A 23,123-nucleotide genomic window follows, 5' to 3' on the forward strand; every position below is an offset into this window, starting at 1 on the left:
AATGCCTTCTAATATATGTATCTTTTATTTCATTTTTCTTTTCTTCTTGCACAGGCTAGACCCTCCACTATAACACTGAATAGAATTAGAGAAAACAGCTATCTTGCCTTGTTCTCTATCATAGAAGGAAGCATTCAGAATTCCACTACTAAGTATAATGGTCACGGTAAGTTTTACACACATACCTTTCATTAGGTTGAGAAATTTTCTCTCTAAGCCTAGTATGCGGATATTTTTAAACTTAAATGAGTGCTGTATCAGGGGAACCTGCCCCCAATATTTCAACCTAGGTTCTTTCTATTTTCCCTAAGTGTAGGCCAGCCTGAGAAATAAAGAGAAACAGTACAAAGAGAGGAATTTTACAGCTAGGCCTCCAGGGGTGACATCACATATTGGTAGGTCCGTGATGTCCACTTGAGCCACAAAACCAGCAGTTTTTTATTAAGGACTTGAAAAGGCGAGGGGGTGTACAAACAGGGAGTAGGTCACAAAGATTACATGCTTTAAAGGGCAATAAAGATCACAAGGCAAAGGGTAAAGCAAAGATCACAAGGCAAAGGGCAAAATCAGAATTACTGATGAGGGTCTATGTTCAGCTGTGCACGTATTGTCTTGATAAACATCTTAAACAACAGAAAACAGAGTTTGAGAGCAGAGAACCAGTCTGACCTCAAATTTACCAGGGTGAGGTTTCTTCCCCACCCTAATAAGCCTGAGGGTACTGCAGGAGACCAGGGCATATTTCAGTCCTTATCTCAACTGCATAAAACAGACACTCCCAGAGCAGCCATTTATAGACCACCCCCCAGGAATGCAATTCTTTTCCTAGGGTGTTAGTATTATATTCCTTGCTAGGAAAACAATTTAGCAATATCTCTCTTACTTGCATGTCCGTTTATAGGCTCTCTGCAAGAAGAAAAATATGGCTCTTTTTGCCCGACTCCGCAGGCAGTCAGACCTTATGGTTGTCTTCCCTTGTTCCCTAAAATCGCTGTTATTCTGTTCGTTTTCAGGGTGTACTGATTTCATATTGTTCAAACACACGTTTTACAATCAGATTTGTACAGTAGTGGTCCCAAGGTGACATACATTCTCAGCTTAGGAAGATAACAGGATTAAGAGATTAAAGTAAAGACAGGCATAAGAAATTATAAGAGTATTATTAGGGAAGTGACAAATGTCCATGAAATCTTCACAATTTATGTTCAGAGATTGCAGTAAAAACAGGCGTTAAGAAACTATAAAAGTATTAATTTTGGGAACTGATAAATGTCCATGAAATCTTCACAATTTATGTTCCTCAGCCACGGCTCCAGCAGGTCCCTCCATTCAGGGTCCCTGACTTCCCGTAACAGTGCTGCACTTTTTTCAAAATTTGTTTCTCCATATATTAACATGATAAAGTGGTTTTTCTCTTTTATTCTGTTAATATGTTAGGTTACACTGATTATTTTTCAAATATTAAGTCAGCTGTTTACTCCTGAGATATACCTCAATTGGTATATATTTGATATTTTGTTAAGGATTTTTAATTCTGTGTTTTTGAAGGGTATTGGTCTGGTTTTCATACAAGCACATGCTTATCTTGTGAAATAAGCAGGGATTCTTCCCCTCTTCTATTTTTTAGAAGACTTTGTATATAATTGATATTGATTGAAATCTCTTAAGCCATATGAGCTTAGACTACTGTTTATAGGAAAAACTTAACTATGGATTCAATATATCTATATATTAGGACAGGGCTTTGGTTGTTCTTTTTCCTTCATCTCAAATTTTTAAATTTTGTACCTTTGAATGAATTTGTACATCTCATCAAAGTTGGAAATTTTAGTAGGATATATTTGTTCATCATAGGCCCTAATTATCTTTTCAGTGTTTGTAGGATCTGTAGTGAGAGTTACTGCTTCGTTCCTGATACTGGTTATTTCACTGTCTCCTATTCTTGACCAGATCTCTCTTAAAACCAGATTTTGCTTTCACTTATTTTTCTATTATCTGCTTTCCATTTGATCATTTTTCTGCCCTTATAGTCAATATTTCCTTTCTTTAAACTCATTTTGAGTTTAATTTGCTCTCATTTTTCCAGGTTATAAAGCATTTTAAGCAACACATTTTCCTCTAAGGAAATAGCCTTACCTGTATCCTACACATTTTAAAGTTGTGTTCTTATTTTTATTTAGTTCAAATTATTTATGAGAAATTATGTTTTACAGGGATATTGTTTAATTTCAAAATATTTGTTGATTTTCTACATATTTCTACTGATTCCTAACATAATTATTTTGTGTTCAGAGAACATGTTTTATAATATATCAATCTTTTTAATTTCTTAACACACTTGAAAAGTTTATGATATAACTTAGAGGATGTATTATGTACACTAAAAATAATATATCTTTTCCTGCTCTTAAGTAGAGTGTTTTATATAGACCTATCAGTTGCAATAGGTAAAGTTGGTTGATAGTATTTTCAACTTTCTTGTTAAAAAATACAATTTAGAAGTATTTTTCAATACTATTCTCAAGTATTTTTGAGTTATCTGTATCTTTACTGATTTTTGTCTACTTATGCTATCAATTATTGAAAAAGGATGTTGAAATCTGCAACTATCAATGTGGATATGTCTATTTCTTCATTCAGGTCTATCAATATTTGTTTCATGTACTTTGAGGTTCTTTTATTAGATGCATACACATTTAGATAAGTTAATAAGGATTTTTATTCTTCCTTGATTATTTAAACCTTTGTTATTATGAAATTTACCTCTTTATCCTTGGCAATTTTCCTTGGAATGTAGTGTACTTTGATGTCAATACAATCATTCCAAAAGTTTTATGCTTAGTGTCTGTATAATATATATTTTTCCATCTGTTATTGTAAATTATCTGTTTCTTTTTACCTAAAGTAAATTTCTTGTATGAGTATACATTTGGGTCTTGCTGTTTTACCTGGTCTGAAAAAACTCTGCCTTTTATTTGGAGTGTTTGATCCATTTACACTTAATGTAATGAATAATAATTAGATAGTTAGATAAATAAGTTTTCTATATCTTTTTCTTGTTTTTGTTTTGCTCCTTTGCCTTCTTTTAATTCGATATTTTTTATAATTATATTTTGTCTCCCCTAGTGATTTATATGTTAGCTGTGTGTGTATATGTGTGTATTTGCTCTAAGGTTTAAAGCACTCATCTTTAATTTATCAGTTCTACCACCAAGCACTGTTATATCACTTCACATTAATCAAACTTATAATAGTTTACTTATTTTTCCCTACTCTTCCTTGTGCTATTGTTATCACAATGGTCTAGTGCCTCCAGTTAGAAAGCTATGGTAATCATAAAGTTCATGCTATGATTCTTTTGCCTCCTATTAATATAAAAAATTCCAGTTCTATTCAGCTTGCTTTCAAATGTCTGGAGTTTTTTTTTTTATAATGCTTTTTCTGTGTCTTAGTTATTTGAAGTGGGAGTGCAAGTCAGTCTTGTCAGTTAGCTTTACATGATCAAAAGCAAAATTATCTTTAACATGATATATTCTTTAGAAATAATATCTTTCATAAACAAAAAATAAATTGACCTGTCAATAATGCTAGCTCTGAGATAATATTTCAGCTGTATTAAAAGGTTTACATTAAGATTTGCTAACTTTACTCCAACTATGATCAACAAATCATTATAAATATTTTATAACTCATATTTATGTTAGAAACATATATGGTCATAGGGGAAAAATTAGAATATATAGATGAAGAAAAAATGAAACTTACCTCTTATATCATACCTAGACATGCAGATTAATATTTTGCTGTAGAATTTGAATATGTATAGTTCATATATTCTAAAGAATTCATATTAGAAATTTTGAGAACCATAGGCACAGACTATGACCAAATAAAAACCAAAAACCAAAAACACCTTCTCATATTCCCACCTCCACCTCTGACTCCTTAGATGGTCATTACTTCCACCTAAATTATAGATACACTTAGCCTCGTACCTAGTTTTTGTCATTAGTTTTGTTTTTTCCTACCTATTCTCATTTTGATCAGAAGGACTTCAATCATACTTTATCATTCCATCACTTAAATTTCCTCAATGAATTCTCACCAAGATTAAATAAATTCTCAACTTCTCAATATAACACACAACATTTTTTGGCTCTAATTTCATCTCTTCTTATTTACTACGAAGCATTACAAACTCTAGCCATTTTGAACACACATATGTGGTAAATGCAGAACCCATCTGCTATTTGTTCTCTGAATACCCTCCATACAACCCCACCACTAACTCTCTTTCTCACAGACTTACTTGTCTTACTGTTTCTTCTTCCTGCTTTACAACTTATGCCTAGGGTTCCATTGTTGGAACACTAAGTATGTGGGAGTTATTTATATCCTATTGCTCAAGGTCATCACCAAGGTCTGATTGCAAATATTCAAAAATTGCAACCTCAGGCATAAATGGATTAAGATGAAGTTCAGGCATCTGTTTGCTTTAGGCTGGGTTAGTTGTATGTATGTATTTATTTATTTATTTATTTATTTATTTATTTATTTTTTGCTCCCACAGTTGCCAGTACACTCATGGTTCTATGATAAAATATTGTGCTGTGGTCTAATATTTTCTTTACTTCTTTGTCTCTCTCACTAGATTGTGAGTTATGTGAGAGCAGATATTATGTTTTCCATTTTTTAATCACTAGGGTGCAGTAGACCATCTGGCACATATTAACTACTCAATATGTATTTGTTGAATGAAATAATTAAAACCATTACTCATGTGATAATCAAATTGGCACTCTTGATTTCACTGACACTTTATGTTAGACCTCTATATTCTTTATCTGTATCTACAAGACAACATCAATGGTAAGACACATCCTCCAATAATATTATGTGATTCTAGCTAAAAGGAACATAAGAAAAATTGTAACTTTTTTCTACTTTTCACACTGAAAACTGTGACATCTATTAAAATACTTTTACCCAAAACCAGAAATATAAAAGTGTATATTCAATAATAAATATTAGGAAATTGATGTCTACAGACATGTTTCAAACATCTCATAAAAGCTCTTTTTTCTTTTGCCACTTCCAAATTAGGACTGTTCTTGTTTTTGAATTCAGCTCCAGGTATTCAATTTAGTCTTCGAGAATTAAGTCTTAATTATCTCAGTGATCATCTCACTGCCTCTGCATTCTCAATTTAGCAATTGATCACAGAGTGAGCACAACATAGCATTTGGACATAAAAATCAACTTTAAGTTTTGACTACAATCCACTCAGTGATTTAAGCATATACTGTGGTCTGAGTCCAAAAATATTTCATATTGATAACAGAGGAACTTTTGTGATTCATTTCACCTTCAAACTCCAGAATATTAGTGTCCCTTAACAAAAACAATTTGTATTGGATAAAAATGTTTGGTATAAATTAGGACTCTTCACAGTTCAAATAATAATAATAGTAATAATTAGAAAACCCAACCTCACCTAACAATGAATGTTTAATGATATGAGTGATTTGTTGGCTAATATAACCAGAAGTTCCAGAGGATGAATGGATTGTATTTGGCTCAGTTTAGCAGCTCAGTATTACCATTAAAGATCCAGTTTAATTTTATTTCCCTATATTCCATAGTACTAGCATTATCCCAGCACTGACTTTCTTCATGGTGTCAAAATGACTTATAGTTCCAGACTTCATATCTTTATGCCACGTCTTTCAGAATGAAACAAAAGTTGGCTACAAGTAGGTCTTTGAGAAATATGAAAATCATCTTTCCTAGAAGCATAATTATTTTTGAAGCTTGACTCAACTTGGCCCTTTTATTTGATCATATGCCCATTCCAGAAAAATTATCTGTCAACAAAGAAATATCATATGCTAACGGTATAGATTTTAGGTCCCTGAATCAATTACTATTGTGGCATAGGGTTACCTCAACAGGGTTAGACCTATCAAAAATCATCTCTGGATCATGGAATGAGGCAATTACCCCTAACCCAAAACCAGGCCGTTTTTAAATAGCTAGGAAGAAAAGTGAGTCTTGGGGATAAAACATGGAAATTTAGAACCAGAGCTGGAAGTGATGAATTCAAACATTTTTAAACAAAAATAAAATTCCTTAAAATTAGGGTTGACAAATTTATTGAATAAAAATACTTGGCACCCATTTAAATTTGATTTTCAGATAAACAATAATTAAATTTTAGCATAAGTATGTCCCATGAAATTGTACTTGAAATCTCATTTAAACTGCAATACATGAGTTATTTAAAATACATTTTTTTTTTGTAAAAGTACAAAAAAAAGACAACTTTTTATGGGAAACAAAATAAATAAAGATAAGACACAGACTGGCTGTAGTTTTCATTTGATTATTTCAGTCAGTGACCACACATACACCCAGTAATTATGGGAATGTTAGGTAGGAAAGTCAGTTCAACGCTCCTGGTCTTAATGAAGAGGACTCATCCCTAAGTACTGCAGAAGGCTCTCTCTGCCTTCTTACTGATTACTAAAATTGGGAACAGTTTGCTCAGCTCTGGGAGGAAGTTGCCTCTCATGTATAAAGGGCAGCCTCTGCCGTTGCAGGCAAGAGGTATCTTGACCCAGTCTGTTTGACTGGATGGATAGGCTCTCTAACTCTGAGCTTCAGACTTAGGAAGGCCATTTCACTCTAACTCTAAAAAATTTGCTTTAAACTTAGATTTAATTAATAATAGGTGTGGGCCGGGTCCGGTGGCTCATGCCTGTAATCTCAGCACTTTTGGAGGCTGAGGCGAGTGGATCACAAGGTCAGGAGTTTGAGACCAGCCTGACCAACATGGTGAAATCCCATCTCTACTAAAAATACAAAAATTAACTAGGCGTGGTGGCACGCACATGTAATCCCAGCTACTCGGGAGGCTGAGAAAGGAGAATCACTTGAACCTGGGAGGCGGATATTGCAGTGAGCTGAGATTGTGCCATTGCATTCCAGGCTGGGCTATAGAGTGAGACTCAGTTTCAAAAAATAAATGAACAAATAAATAATAATAACAATAAGGGTGATAGTCCAGGCCCCATCTTTTACTCCTTTGTGCTGTTTATATTTTCACCCTTGATTGCAGAACTTTATAGGGAAGTTTATATGCCCTCCTTAGAAAATTCAACCCAAATTATTCTTGCTAATTTATACGTACTGGAACTAAGAGGTTATCAATATATGCTACCTATTTATATAAATGGCATAAATTTTGGAGTGTTTATTGATTTAGACTTTTTGAAATAAAGTTTAACCTTTATGGGATAATATTAAACATAAGTTCCCCATTTTTAATTTATTACAATAAATAAATTATATACAATTAGTGGATATAAATATTGAGAGTGTTTCTGAGGATATATAAAAATGGCTGCATCATGACAATTACTCTCAGGAATCCAAAGAGAAGTGGCACTGAAACAGATGAAAGAGGAAGTAGGGACAATATAATGTAATAGACAAGAGGTATGGACCTGAGATATTTAGCTGAATATGTGTACAAATTCACATGTCTGGTCTCTGCTCACACCACCAAAAAACAACCATCCCAAAGGAAGACAAAACATTGTTCTAGAAATATAGGGATGCCAGGCGGAAAGATGAATATGGAAGTGTTTGCAGTAGGCTTTACAATGCTAGTGATGTGCTGTAATTTGAATTGCCACCTTGAGTGGGTTTTGCTTTTCTTACCACTGAAGTTTAGATGACATGTGATGTGGTTTTTCAAAATTAACAAAACAAGTACAGAGACAGAATCATCCAGAAGCTTTCAAGGATATTACATTCTGGACATGAATTCATGAGATAGGAACCACCCTCAGAAGTGGGAACTTTTAAAATAAAGCTATTGCCTCAGCCCATGGTGGGAAGTTTACAAAACCAGCTGCACTTTGCATCTCTGGGTCTAACAAAGATCACAAATCAAAGCTTCATGACCAAATTAATGTGTAGCTTATCCCCCTCCCCAAGGTCTTTCCCTTGGTTTTATTATTACTGACAATATTGTAAGAGCAGTGTGAAATGGCCAATTCACACATGTGCCACGTTTTGCACACTGCCTGAACCTGCTGGAACATGATTTTCCTAAGAATGATGACAGTAATAAACATCTTCTGGCAGAGGCTTGCAAAATCTGCACCCATTTTAGTCACTCAGTAATGGCTCATAAAATTCTTTGAGAACTGCAGGAGAAAAACAATGTACATACTCATGCATAAATTAAAACTAGAAGTGCCAGCTCAATGGAACTCGACTTCTCACACTCTGGGACAACTGTGGAGCAATTAAAAATAAACAAACCCATCAGATGTAGGTACAGCCAACGGTCATCAGAGAAAGTGCTCTCTGTTTGAGATCAAACCATTAACCAGTGCCTTCCTTGAGTTGATTCCCTCTTTGGTCTGCGAAAATATTCAGGATACTTTACATAATCCTTCCTGATGAGTTCTCTTACAAAGGCAATGTCAATGTGAATGGATGAGAAGAAAAGTGCTCATCTTGATTTCCCTTTACATTTAAGGATCATTTTCTGCACAAAATGTGATATAAGCATAAACATTCCTGACTCCCTTCTTTACATAAAAGTTTCAAGTTTGAGCTCTGTCATTTTCATGGGTGAACAATTCAGAAATGCTCTTTATTTTGTCAAGTTTTAAAGAAGAAAATAATCAGAAATACCTAAAAAATATTCTCATAGAACTCAAAACATCATTAGTTCATAGAGCATTTCTAGCAATACTTTAGAATCATTTTCTCAGCCCTGCTCACTATGAGTAGGACTCTTTACAGTTTTCAGAACTGAAAAAAAAAATCGGTTTTATGGTCAAGTTTCCATACTTGTCTTAGCAATTGAAATCTTATTCTACAGTTATTTGGAACGTTCTCAGGTGGAAAGTAATGGGTACCAGTTTTATCTGTCATCTAACATAATATTTGGCAGTTGATACAATGTGGTGTATTAATACTCCCCTCAAATAGCAAGATGACAATTTGGGAATTTTTCCCCAGGTCTGGAAGCAGGTTTAGTTGGTCCTGGGATACTCCCAACCAACTTGCCAGAGATTGCTTTAGTCATGGTCATGTGACCAATTCTGGACAACAAGCCATGCCTTGAGGTTTATGACAGGCCCTTGGGAAAGTTCTTCCTTGCTTTTAAGAGAGAATAGGAAAGCTTTATATTTCTCCCCAATGGTTGTGAATGAGAAAACATGTAGCCCCTATTACTTTAGGCATTTGTCTCAAATCTGTGAAGAAATGAGATAAAGCCAATTGAGAGAGAGTCCATGGGAAGATTTTTGAGGTGCTTGTATTAGTCTGTTTTCATACTGCCATAAAGAACTGCCCAAGACTGGGTAATTTATAAAGGAAAGAAGTTTAATTGGCTCACAGTTCAGCATGGCTGGGGAGGCCTCAGGAAACTTACAATCACAGCAGAAGGCAAAGAGCAAACAGGTACCTTCTTCACAAGGCAGCAAGAAGGAGAATAGTGAAGAGCAAAGGGGGAAGAGCTCCTTATAAAACCATCAGATCTCGTGAGAACTCACTCACTATCATGAGAACAGCATGGGAGAACCACCCCCATGATCCAATTACGTCCACCTGGTCTCTCCCTAGACATACGGGGATTATGGGGATTACAATTCAAGATGAAATTTGGGTGGAGACACAAAGCCTAACCATATCAGTGGTGGATTAGCCAACACTAAACCCTACCTATTTCTGATTTCCTTTTGTATTAGCTAGTAAGTGATCTGTTCTTTTAAGTCATTGTTTCAGGTTTTGTCACTTACAGTAAGAGGCAGTTCAAAAGACTTAAGAACTTTACAAAATGTCCTTTCTTATTACACAGTGACTTATGGGGTGGACGGTTGCAGATGCTCAGTTGTTAAGTGTATGGACCAAAATGACATATGGCAAAGAAGCAGGCCCATTAGACAATGAAAGAATAATGATGTAAGAATGGCAGGCTCTTTGTCTCAGAGAAGTGGCTACACCTGATAAGAATCCCGGCTCTACCACCCATGTGTAGGCCCTCACCAAATTTTTCTGCAACTCTCTAGGGTTTAATTTCTAATTTTTTTTCTCTATATCCTCCTTCTTGACTCTGCACCTGCTATTTTCAATTACAGCCCATCCACCTCACTTGTTGTGTGCACACACACACACACACACACACACACACCACATCACAGAGTATTCTGTGATGGTGGTGTCCCAGATGATTTGGGGAATCACAGGAAGGGAAAGTGAGTCCTTCCTGTATAAATAACTGCATACATACTTTCTGTTTTTTCTCTTGTCTCTTCTTACCTATTCAGAGCCACCTACAAAATTCTTTTTATGTTTTATGCACATGAATTTTATCCACTCCTAGGACATAAAACTTCTTTATTTCTACTCTAAGCAATACACCAAAGAATTTTCCCAATAAATGTTGATCTTCTTCTACAAGGACTCCTTTTCCAACTGCAAAATATATATATACACACACATATATATGTGTATATATTCATATATGTATATATACATATATGTATGTATATATATATTCCCATTGAAAAGTGCACTTCTTTTTCAAATTTATGTGAAAATTGGCTTAATTAGGAGGAAGATGTTCTAAGGATACTGCACCTACAAAATAAAATTCCCAAATATGACCAGGAGCATCCTTCTGAATCAGTGTGACTCTCAACTCCAAATGAAGTTTAGGTTTTGCCTGACCCCTTCCCAAGTAGAAAATGTTTCTCAGGCAACAGGGGCTTTTCCCACAAAAAAGGTCAGTTTTGGGATTAAAGAGAGGTACAAATGAATGGTTTTAGGAGTAGATACATCTTAGGTAAGAAATAGAGAAAAGGATTCATACAAGAACTGTAAGGCTCTGAATTCCCAGGAGAGTATGTAGAGCACTCAGTCCTGACAGTAAGCACCCTCTTTGAATAAATAGAGTCCTGCTAGATGGCAGGATTCCAAGCTGATGCTTTGAGAAGAAAGACCTCTGGAAAAAGCTCACAATATTAATAAATACTTGTCATTAGATAATTTCAGCTGCAAAAAATGCTTCAAATGTCTCTTCCAATATAATTCACCTTTGTTCTAGATATCAAAGATCTCAGAAAAGCAGTTAAGACTATGATGTATAAGTCAGCACTTAAAAGATCTTACCTTTTAATTAACGGTTATAAAAATTATTCACACTCAAAATATCAACTCAGAAAAAAAATCTCACAATTTGGGCCAGTTTTCTTATCCTTTATATAGCACCAAAGTATTTGCTTATTGCAATAGTATAGAGTGTTTCTATACAATCACATATTTTTGCAGATATAGAGGCAGCACACACACAGTTGTTGATTATTAATTTTCAAAAAGAATATAATTAATAGCTTGGAATGGCAGAATGAAGAATGTAATTAATAGCCTGGAATGACAGTATTGCTGAGTGCTAAGAAAGCTATGGTCTTCAGACTGGCGAAAGTGGCAAAACCGAATCTCTACAAAAAATATAAAAATTAGTCGAGTGTGGTGGCACACAACTGTGGTCCCAGCTACACAGGAAGCTGAGGCAGGATAATCGCTTGAACCTGGGAAGCAGAGGTTGCAGTGAGCCACTGCACTCCAGCCTAGGCGACGAAGCAAGATTGTGTCTCAAAACAAAACAACATGACAAAACAAACAAACAAAAACACCTATGATCTTGTTTTGGTTCTAAAAGTTTCAAACTTTACCTTTCCCAGGATGCCTTAGTTTTCTCATTGGTAAATGAGGTAACTGGGTGTTCTGTTCGTTATGTAACTCACAGTTTTAAATTATTAGATCTGATTTTAATGAGCTTGAAAATACAAATCAAGGTATCTAATCTCTTTTGCTCTCAGGTTTTTCAACTATAAAAGAGAATTGTAAGATACCAGTAGTGAGTGTATGCATATAACATCTGGAGCCCTTTTTGGAGAACAATGCTTACGCTCTCCCCAACTCCTGCCCCACCCCTGGTATCTGGGTTCCACCGTAAACTCATTATTAGTTCAGGTGGTTTGAGAGAAGTTGATCAGTTTCTGTCAAGCGAAACACATGACCTGTCCTGAACAATCTTACCAGTGATTAGCCATGGCCATTGTTACAGAAATAGACATTTGACCCAGGCTATACCAATTAATATTCTCTTAAGACTTTTGCTGGACCTAACCAGAAACAAAACTCCCTTTTTCTGAGGTGTAAGCAATGAGAGAAATTTGACTTCAATTTGCCATTGGCCACGTTGCCACTACTTGTAGTGAGAATGAAGGTAAAGTGGGAGTTGAGAGAGAGAGAACATTTCATTTCGAATCCCAGAATTCAAATGCCTAAAGCCTATTTTTTGCTTGTTTGTTTCATGAGCCAATAAATTTTCCTTTTCCTTAAGGTAGTAATTTTCCTTGGATTTCTGTCACTAAACACTGAAAATATTGACAGACATATTACCTTAGAAATTTATGAAACGTAGGAGGAGCCAAGATGGCCGAATAGGAACAGCTCCGGTCTACAGCTCCCAGCATGAGCGACGCAGAAGACGCGTGATTTCTGCATTTCCATCTGAGGTACCGGGTTCATCTCACTAGGGAGTGCCAGACAGTGGGCGCAGGTCAGTGGGTGCGCGCACCGTGCGCGAGCCGAAGCAGGGCGAGGCATTGCCTCACTCGGGAAGCGCAAGGGGTCAGGGAGTTCCCTTTCCGAGTCAAAGAAAGGGGTGACCTACAGCACCTGGAAAATCGGGTCACTCCCATCCAAATACTGCGCTTTTCCGACAGGCTTAAAAAACGGCGAAGCACGAGTTTATATCCCGCACGTGGCTGGGAGGGTACTATGCCCACGGAGTCTCGCTGATTGCTAGCACAGCAGTCTGAGATCAAACTGCAAGGCGGCAGCGAGGCTGGGGGAGGGGCTCCAGCCATTGCCCAGGCTTGATTAGGTAAACAAAGCAGCCAGGAAGCTCCAACTGGGTGGAGCCCACCACAGCTCAAGGAGGCCTGCCTGCCTCTGTAGGCTCCACCTCTGGGGGCAGGGCACAGACAAACAAAAAGACAGCAGGAACCTCTGCAGACTTAAATGTCCCTGTCTGACAGCTTTGAAGAGAGCAGTGGTTCTCCCAGTACGCAGCTGGAGATCTGAGAACGGGCAGACTGCCTCCTCAAGTGGGTATCTGACCCCTGACCCCCGAGCAGCCTAACTGGGAGGCACCCCCCAGCAGGGGCACACTGACACCTCACACGGCAGGGTACTCCAACAGACCTGCACCTGAGGGTCCTGTCTGTTAGAAGGAAAACTAACAAACAGAAAGGACATCCACACCAAAAACCCATCTGTACGTCACCATCATCAAAGACCAAAAGTAGATAAAACCACAAAGATGGGGAAAAAACAGAACAGAAAAACTGGAAACTCTAAAAAGCAGAGCGCCTCCCCTCCTCCAAAGGAATGCAGTTCCTCACCAGCATCGGAACAAAGCTGGACGGAGAATGACTTTGACAAGCTGAGAGAAGAAGGCTTCAGACGATCAAATTATTCTGAGCTATGGGAGGACATTCAAACCAAAGGCAAAGAAGTTGAAAACTTTGAAAAAAATTTAGAAGAATGTATAACTAGAATAACCAATACAGAGAAGTGCTTAAAGGAGCTGATGGAGCTGAAAACCAAGGCTCGAGAACTACGTGAAGAATGCAGCAGCCTCAGGAGACGATGCGATCAACTGGAAGAAAGGGTATCAGCAATGGAAGACGAAATGAATGAAATGAAGTGAGAAGGGAAGTTTAGAGAAAAAAGAATAAAAAGAAATGAGCAAAGCCTCCAAGAAATATGGGACTATGTGAAAAGACCAAATCTACGTCTGATTGGTGTACCTGAAAGTGATGGGGAGAATGGAACCAAGTTGGAAAACACTCTGCAGGATATTATCCAGGAGAACTTCCCCAATCTAACAAGGCAGGCCAACGTTCAGATTCAGGAAATACAGAGAATGCCACAAAGATACTCCTCGAGAAGAGCAACTCCAAGACACCTAATTATCAGATTCACCAAAGTTGAAATGAAGGAAAAAATGTTAAGGGCAGCCAGAGAGAAAGGTCAGGTTACCCTCAAAGGGAAGCCCATCAGACTAACAGTAGATCTCTCAGCAGAAACCCTACAAGCCAGAAGAGAGTGGGGGCCAATATTCAACATTCTTAAAGAAAAGAATTTTCAACCCAGAATTTCACATCCAGCCAAACTAATCTTCATAAGTGAAGGAGAAATAAAATACTTTACAGACAAGCAAATGCTGAGAGATTTTGTCACCACCAGACCTGCCCTAAAAGAGCTCCTGAAGGAAGCGCTAAACATGGAAAGGAACAACCGGTACCAGCCGCTGCAAAATCATGCCAAAATGTAAAGACCATCGAGACTAGGAAGAAACTGCATCAACTAAAGAGCAAAATAAACAGCTAACATCATAATGACAGGATCAAATTCACACATAACAATATTAACTTTAAGTGTAAATGGATTAAATGCTCCAATTAAAAGACACAGACTGGCAAATTGGATAAAGAGTCAAGACCCATCAGTGTGCTGTATTCAGGAAACCCATCTCATGTGCAGAGACACACATAGGCTCAAAATAAAAGGATGGAGGAAGATCTACCAAGCAAATGGAAAACAAAAAAAGGCAGGGGTTGCACTCCTAGTCTCTGATAAAACAGACTTTAAACCAACAAAGATCAAAAGAGTCAAAAAAGGCCATTACATAATGGTAAAGGGATCAATTCAACAAGAAGAGCTAACTATCCTAAATATATATGCACCCAATACAGGAGCACCCAAATTCATAAAGCAAGTCCTGAGTGACCTACAAAGAGACTTAGACTCCCACACATTAATAATGGGAGACTTTAACACCCCACTGTCAACATTAGACAGATCAATGAGACAGAAAGTCAACAAGGATACCCAGGAATTGAACTCAGCTCTGCACCAAGAAGACCTAATAAACATCTACAGAACTCTCCACCCCAAATCAACAGAATATACATTTTTTTCAGCACCACACCTATTCCAAAATTGTCCACATACTGGGAAGTAAAGCTCTCCTCAGCAAATGTAAAAGAACACAAATTATAACAAACTATCTCTCAGACCACAGTGCAATCAAACTAGAACTCAGGATTAAGAATCTCACTCAAAACCGCTCAACTACATGGAAACTGAACAACCTGCTCCTGAATGACTACTGGGTACATAACGAAATGAAGGCAGAAATAAAGATGTTCTTTGAAACCAACGAGAACAAAGACACAACATACCAGAATCTCTGGGACGCATTCAAAGCAGTGTGTAGAGGGAAATTTATAGCACTAAATGCCCACAAGAAAAAGCAGGAAAGATCCAAAATTGACACCCTAACATCACAATTAAAAGAACTAGAAAAGCAAGAGCAAACACATTCAAAAGCTAGCAGAAGGCAAGAAATAACTAAAATCAGAGCAGAACTGAAGGAAATAGAGACACAAAAAACCCTTCAAAAAATTAATGAATCCAGGAGCTGGTTTTTTGAAAGGATCAACAAAATTGATAGACCACTAGCAAGACTAATAAAGAAAAAAAGAGAGAAGAATCAAATAGATGCAATAAAAAATGATAAAGGGGATATCACCACCGATCCCACAGAAATACAAACTACCATCAGAGAATACTACAAACACCTCTACCCAAATAAACTAGAAAATCTAGACGAAATGGATAAATTCCTCGACACATACACCCTCCCAAGACTAAACCAGGAAGAAGTTGAATCTCTGAATAGACCAATAACAGGCTCTGAAATTGTGGCAATAATCAATAGCTTACCAACCAAAAAGAGTCCAGGACCAGATGGATTCACAGCTGAATTCTACCAGAGGTACAAGGAGGAACTGGTACCATTCCTTCTGAAACTATTCCAATCAATAGAAAAAGAGGGAATCCTCCCTAACTCATTTTATGAGGCCAGCATCATTCTGATACCAAAGCCAGGCAGAGACACAACCAAAAAAGAGAATTTTAGACCAATATCCTTGATGAACATTGATGCAAAAATGCTCAAGAAAATACTGGCAAAACGAATCCAGCAGCACATCAAAAAGCTTATCCACCATGATCAAGTGGGCTTCATCCCTGGGATGCAAGGCTGGTTCAATATATGGAAATCAATAAATGTAATCCAGCATATAAACAGAGCCAAAGACAAAAACCACATGATTATCTCAATAGATGCAGAAAAGGCCTTTGACAAAATTCAACAACGCTTCATGCTAAAAACTCTCAATAAATTAGGTATTGATGGGACATATTTCAAAATAATAAGAGCTATCTATGACAAACCCACAGCCAATATCATACTGAATGGGCAAAAACTGGAAGCATTCCCTTTGAAAACTGGCACAAGACAGGGATGCCCTCTCTCACCACTCCTATTCAACATAGTGTTGGAAGTTCTGGCCAGGGCAATTAGGCAGGAGAAGGAAATAAAGGGTATTCAATTAGGAAAAGAGGAAGTCAAATTGTCCCTCTTTGCAGACGACATGATTGTACATCTAGAAAACCCCATTGTCCCAGCCCAAAATCTCCTTAAGCTGATAAGCAACTTCAGCAAAGTCTCAGGATACAAAATCAATGTACAAAAATCCAAGCATTCTTATACACCAACAACAGACAAACAGAGAGCCAAATCATGAGTGAACTCCCATTCACAATTGCTTCAAAGAGAATAAAATACCTAGGAATCCAACTTACAAGGGATGTGAAGGACCTCTTCAAGGAGAACTACAAACCACTGCTCAAGGAAATAAAAGAGGATACAAACAAATGGAAGAACATTCCATGCTCATGGGTAGGAAGAATCAATATCGTGAAAATGGCCATACTGCCCAAGGTAATTTACAGATTCAATGCCATCCCCATCAAACTACCAATGACTTTCTTCACAGAATTGGAAAAAACTACTTGAAAGTTCATATGGAACCAAAAAAGAGCCTGCATTGCCAAGGCAATCCTAAGCCAAAAGAACAAAGCTGGAGGCATCACACTACCTGACTTCAAACTATACTACACGGCTACAGTAACCAAAACAGCATGGTACTGGTACCAAAACAGAGATATAGATCAATGGAACAGAACAGAGCCCTCAGAAATAACGCCGCATATCTACAACTATCTGCTCTTTGACAAACCTGAGAAAAACAAGTAATGGGGAAAGGATTGCCTATTTAATAAATGGTGCTGGGAAAACTGGCTAGCCATATGTAGAAAGCTGAAACTGGATCCCTTCCTTACACCTTATACAAAAATCAATTCAAGATGGATTAAAGACTTAAACGTTAGACCTAAAACCATAAAAACCCTAGAAGAAAACCTAGGCATTACCATTCAGGACATAGGCATGGGCAAGGACTTCATGTCTAAAACACCAAAAGCAATGGCAACAAAAGACAAAATTGACAAATGGGATCTAATTAAACTAAAGAGCTTCTGTACAGCAAAAGAAACTACCATCAGAGTGAACAGGCAACCTACAACATGGGAGAAAATTTTCACAACCTACTCATCTGACAAAGGGCTAATATCAAGAATCTACAATGAACTCAAACAAATTTACAAGAAAAAAACAAACAACCCCATCAAAAAGTGGGCAAAGGACATGAACAGACACTTTTCAAAAGAAGACATTTATGCAGCCAAAAAACACATGAAAAAATGCTCATCATCACTGGCCATCAGAGAAATGCAAATCAAAACCACAATGAGATACCATCTCACACCAGTTAGAATGGCAATCATTAAAAAGTCAGGAAACTACAGGTGCTGGAGAGGATGTGGAGAAATAGGAACACTTTTACACTGTTGGTGGGACTGTAAACTAGTTCAACCATTGTGGAAGTCAGTGTGGCGATTCCTCAGGGATCTAGAACTAGAAATACCATTTGACTCAGCCATCCCATTACTGGGTATGTACCCAAAGGACTATAAATCATGCTGCTATAAAGACATATGCACACGTATGTTTATTGCGGCACTATTCACAATAGCAAAGACTTGGAACCAACCCAAATGTCCAATAATGATAGACTGGATTAAGAAAATGTGGCACATATACACCATGGAATACTATGCATCCCTAAAAAATGATGAGTTCATGTCCTTTGTAGGGACGTGGATGAAATTGGAAATCATCATTCTCAGTAAACTATCACAAGAACAAAAAACCAAACACCGCATATTCTCACTCATAGGTGGGAATTGAACAATGAGATCACATGGACACAGGAAGGGGAACATCACACTCTGGGGACTGTTGTGGGGTGGGGAGAGGGGGGAGGGATAGCACTGGGAGATATACCTAATGCTAGATGACGAGTTAGTGGGTGCAGCGCACCAGCATGGCACATGTATACATATGTAACTAACCTGCACAATGTGCACATGTACCCTAAAACTTAAAGTATAATAATAAAAGAAAAAAAAGAAAAAATAATAATAAAATAAAATTAAAAAAAGAAATTTATGAAACGTTTAGTTAGATAAACTGCAAAAGGGTTGTTTAAAATGCAAGTAAATATGCAAATATATGACAGCTACTAATATTTTTATTTTTCTACAATAAAATTTAGAAAAATACTTTTACATAAGAATAAAATGCTATCTTAATGAAAAGCAGTTACAAAACACCTAATTCTGTACACTGTTATCCTCGAGGCTTTAGGGAAATTTGTTTTATTTATTTCATTGTCAAGAAGCCCAGTTAATAGCTATGGATTTGTTTCTATATTATCCAGTCGCTAAGTAGGAAGTAGGAATACATTTTCCTTACCTCGTAATATAGTTTTCACTGTCTTTTCTAGCATGCTTATAACACTTCATGCTTTTAGAAGAAAGGTGCTAAATGCTATGAATTAGTATTCAAGTGACTTCAATAAGAATGAAAGTAGAGAGTTTGTAAGGTATGCTAAATCTACAAGATTTTAAATAGGGTCTCACAGCTTTAATCCACAAATTCTGGACTAACCCACTTCAACAAAGAGTAGTTTCAAAACTTAGTTTGCAAAATGATTACATGGTTAATGCAGGATTAAATTTTCTTTCAATTATAAGACTGAATCTGGAAAATACTCTACAGAGAATGAAGGAAAAAATAAATCCTGCAAGAGGTGCATTTGGTCTAAAGTGCTTTTAAATATGCTTCTTAATTGCTGGGGGCTATTTTGCTCTTCATCTAATCATTGTCTGAATTACTGAAGCTCAACTCATCTGATAAAATAGGTGAGCTTTGTGGTAATGAAGTCAGATAATGTCTTATATTCGTGTCAGTGTAGGCATCAAATGGGCAATGTATTTAACCATTAGTATGGAGTTTGCAGACTGGAATACTTTCATCTAGGTTTTTTATATGAAGCCAGTTCATTGAAATAAGTAAAGTTTTCAAAATGGGAAAGCATATAAGAAACTGTGGCTTTAACTGTTTAATAAAATTGCTTGCTATTTAAGTAAAGGTAATTAAAAGTGTAATGCCGTGGAACTATTACGCACCTACTCAAAAACGAGTGGATTTTTGTTTTGTGAAAGAGCCAATATCTTGAAGAAGGGGTAGGCTTCACAATGAGAATTCCATAGATATTTTTAAAGAGCTGGAGATTAACTCATTTAAATAAACAGTCATTTTATGGCTTTTTCACCAGGGAGGCCAGCATTTCCTTGGGGTTCTTGAATTAGGGAGTTCCACACCAAGGTTCTGTAAATTAGCTATGTGGGTATTCATATTATCAACACCTTCACCGCAGCAGGAGGCCCCACATGGGCAAAAATCAAAGAAATGTAGTAATCTTCTGACTATAGCAGATTACTCTGCTATAGTACTTTTGCCTCTGCCTGGAGTACTTTTGGTTTTGCTTTGCACCTGACTTTTCAAAAAATATTTCTTTAACCACTATTTGTTTGATTCTGAGTAACATGTATTGGAAGGCCAAGTCTATCTGCATGCCTTTTCAGGTGTTATTCTGACAGAGGAGTTTTTATACATGTTGGTTTTATAGCATAAAATATGAAAATTTATAAAACTGCTCAGTACAAGTTTAAGGGCAGGTTTCTGTAAAACACAAAGATATTTTAAATGAAATATACAAATGTACTGGCTCCTTCATGATTTTTTTACATGAACTAAAGCAAAGCTATATTCACAAATGAAAAACATCCAATTTCATTTCATCCTCCCCTCCCCAACATATGGTAAGTATTTCCTTGGTTTCTAAATCTGATACATTTCCAAATACACTTGGGGAAGAAGTGTAAGTTACTATACTTCCATCTGATTTTTCTCAGAGAAATTTGTACAACATAAGTTTTACAGAATGGATGAGTTTTATTAAAAGAAAGAGCATTTGTCCTTGCAATGCCTAAAAAACCTGTGAAAGTGCAGGTTATAGAGAGAAACCATGGTATTATTTGCTGGCTTTCTGTCAACAAGAAACTTTTCCATCCTCATGTATATCCTGAAGTCAAGTGCACATTTTTAGTAGCAATGGTCCATGAGAAAGCAATAGGCTATCCTGGGTGTCTGGGCCACTGGGTTGGTCAATTAAAGGAGACTGTTGAGTCATGCATTCTACCTTGTCACATTTGTCTGGTTTTGTTTTTCTATAGAAAATCAAAGCAAACAAAGCAGCTCTCAGTAATGCATTCTAAAACTGTCATGAATTAACTGACCTGTGTAGAAATTTCCTTTTCCTGGGTCAATTCAGCAATTTTGTCCTGCTTGTTGTTTTCTAAATACATCAGTTTCATTTTGTGTTGAACATCAAAGCCCTCATGATAAGTACTACGTTTAACTACAAGGCTGAGTTGCTCAGGACCTGACAAGTCATGAAGCATTAGTAGATGACTGGTTCTTCCCGTCTTGGAACTCAGCCTAATACATACAGTATTTAAATAGGGAAATCGCCATTGACTTTGTAATCCCTTGTGTGACACTTGTTCTGTGAACAGATAAAGGAGAAGTAAGTCAAATACACATTTGTTGGGAAGTCTCCACTGTCTCTTTTCTCCCCAAAGGCAGGAACTGTCAGCATTGGTGACCTCAAGCTAGCCCATGTTCTGATATTATGGTGCACATTCCCAGGGAGGATTATTTGGAAGGACTTTTGTGAAGGGAAACATTTCAGCTGCTTTTTACAAGCACTGATTGCCCAGGACAAAGTAACTGACTGCTACAACATTGAAGCTGAAGGACATAAACATACTATAATATGTTTTGTCATAAACAATCACAGATTAAGGCCCTCTTCACAGGTGTTTGAACAAAATGAATAACAGAATGGAGACTTGTATTCTAATGCTTGTTGCTCATGTAAACTCATGTTCTGCATTTTAGAATCTGTTGAAGCCATAGCTTCTGCTTTGGGAATAAGCCCCATTAATCAGGTCATTCCTTTAGGTGTATTCTGAAGTAGCTACTTTTGGTGATTAAACTTCACGTATTATATTAGGTAACACAGCATGCTGTTAACAGCATGTTATCAGTAAAGGCAAGAGAAAGCATTTATTTTAGATAAGGCAGGCTAATGTCTGTCAACTATAACACTGCTCTCTGATATCAAGGTAAGAGTAAGCTACAGAATGCCATCAGCAATAGCAAACATATGCTGAGTGCCTACTATGTGCTGGGCAATATATCAGATGCTGAGAAGAGTTATATTATAATTCATAAGGGATACAAAATAGCAAGCAATTCAAAGTAGTAAATAGATAATCTGCCATATATTTTAGAAATGTATTAAGACAGAAGTTGCTCTAACATTTGAGAGTTAAAGCAACTAAAGTCCTTGCCATTTATGAGACTTGATCAAGCATACATAGTCTGTATGAAGTTTTGAATAAATCTGTTATTCTATCATCTATGTAGTGAGAAACTAGGAAAATAAACCAGGAGTTTTGAGATCTTTAATCCAAGAGATACCTTGTAGTTTGGGCACAAACTAGCTTTCCAGTTTTTTTCTTCTGGGACTAGTATTATTTGCATTTAAGAGCTTCAGGGAAACTTTGACAGATAACTCCAAATATGAGTTTTAAGCTAGCATAAAGTATCAATTTTTAAGCAATAGACATCATGATATTTTTCATCGCCTTTCACATGATGGCATAAGTGAAGCCCAAATGGAAGTTCAATGATTCCATTTCAGCTATAAAAGATTCAGGAAGATTAGAACCTCAGTGACTTTCTGGTATAGTGATTTTTTAAAAATATGTTTTGCTGAACGAGAGGGCTGTCATGAATTAAATGCAACTCTGCATTTAGTTAGTATTCAATTCTATTCTTCCAATAAATAACTGGATGAAAATCATTTAAAGAAAAGCCCTTCTCTTTAAGGAAACATCTTTAGACCATTTTTATGAGATTTCTCTAGCAGACCAACTTGCAACTTCTAGAAAAATAACCCAAACCATGTAAATGTACTAAAGAGAGATCTCCAGGGAAGCACAACCTCTTAGTTCTGTCTTTATACAGCTCATGGTGAATATGGAGTAGAAGAAAATTGTGGTTTCAACAGAATTCAAACATTATTGTATCGGATCTGAAAACATTTATTCATTAAGGCTAAAATAAAGGAAAACATTTGGAAAAATAACAGCCAGTAATTTATGTCTGGCTGGGCTAGATCTAAACTTGAGTTCTGGCCATTTTCATGTATGTTATCGTGAATATTTACCATGACAACATCTGCATAGCGTTACCTACTCACTTCTGAGTATTTAATGTACATACTCTTAATAAACATGTTCCTTGTGGTCTGTTATATATATTTTTAAGACCACATTAAAAGAATCAGAAGTGGAAGAGATATTTTCAAAAACTTAAACATGGACATTTCTCATATGGAGTTTTAAAAATGTGCAGTATTTGCTTTAATAACCAGAGACCATATTATAAAATGCCTGTAGAAACACAGTGAATGAAAAAGTCTCTAACTTTAATGGTTTCAACAAAGTGTTATATTTTAGGAAACAATGAAATGGAACTCCTATGAATATAGATAGTAGAAAGAATGGAGAAAGTGTGT

At 36.6% G+C, this 23,123-nt stretch overlaps 2 annotated features.

The window, feature by feature from the left end:
• Positions 12,154-12,736: an enhancer, noted in NCBI's record as "H3K27ac-H3K4me1 hESC enhancer chr1:83728934-83729516 (GRCh37/hg19 assembly coordinates)". NCBI's record gives its function as "activates a minimal SCP1, AML or CMV promoter by ChIP-STARR-seq in primed H9 embryonic stem cells {active_cell/tissue: H9 hESC(primed)}" and the evidence as "EXISTENCE:reporter gene assay evidence [ECO:0000049][PMID:30033119]".
• Positions 12,737-13,319: an enhancer, noted in NCBI's record as "OCT4-NANOG-H3K27ac-H3K4me1 hESC enhancer chr1:83729517-83730099 (GRCh37/hg19 assembly coordinates)". NCBI's record gives its function as "activates a minimal SCP1, AML or CMV promoter by ChIP-STARR-seq in naive and primed H9 embryonic stem cells {active_cell/tissue: H9 hESC(naive and primed)}" and the evidence as "EXISTENCE:reporter gene assay evidence [ECO:0000049][PMID:30033119]".

Source organism: Homo sapiens, chromosome 1 (assembly GCF_000001405.40).
Source record: "Homo sapiens chromosome 1, GRCh38.p14 Primary Assembly".
Lineage (NCBI taxonomy): Eukaryota > Metazoa > Chordata > Mammalia > Primates > Hominidae > Homo > Homo sapiens.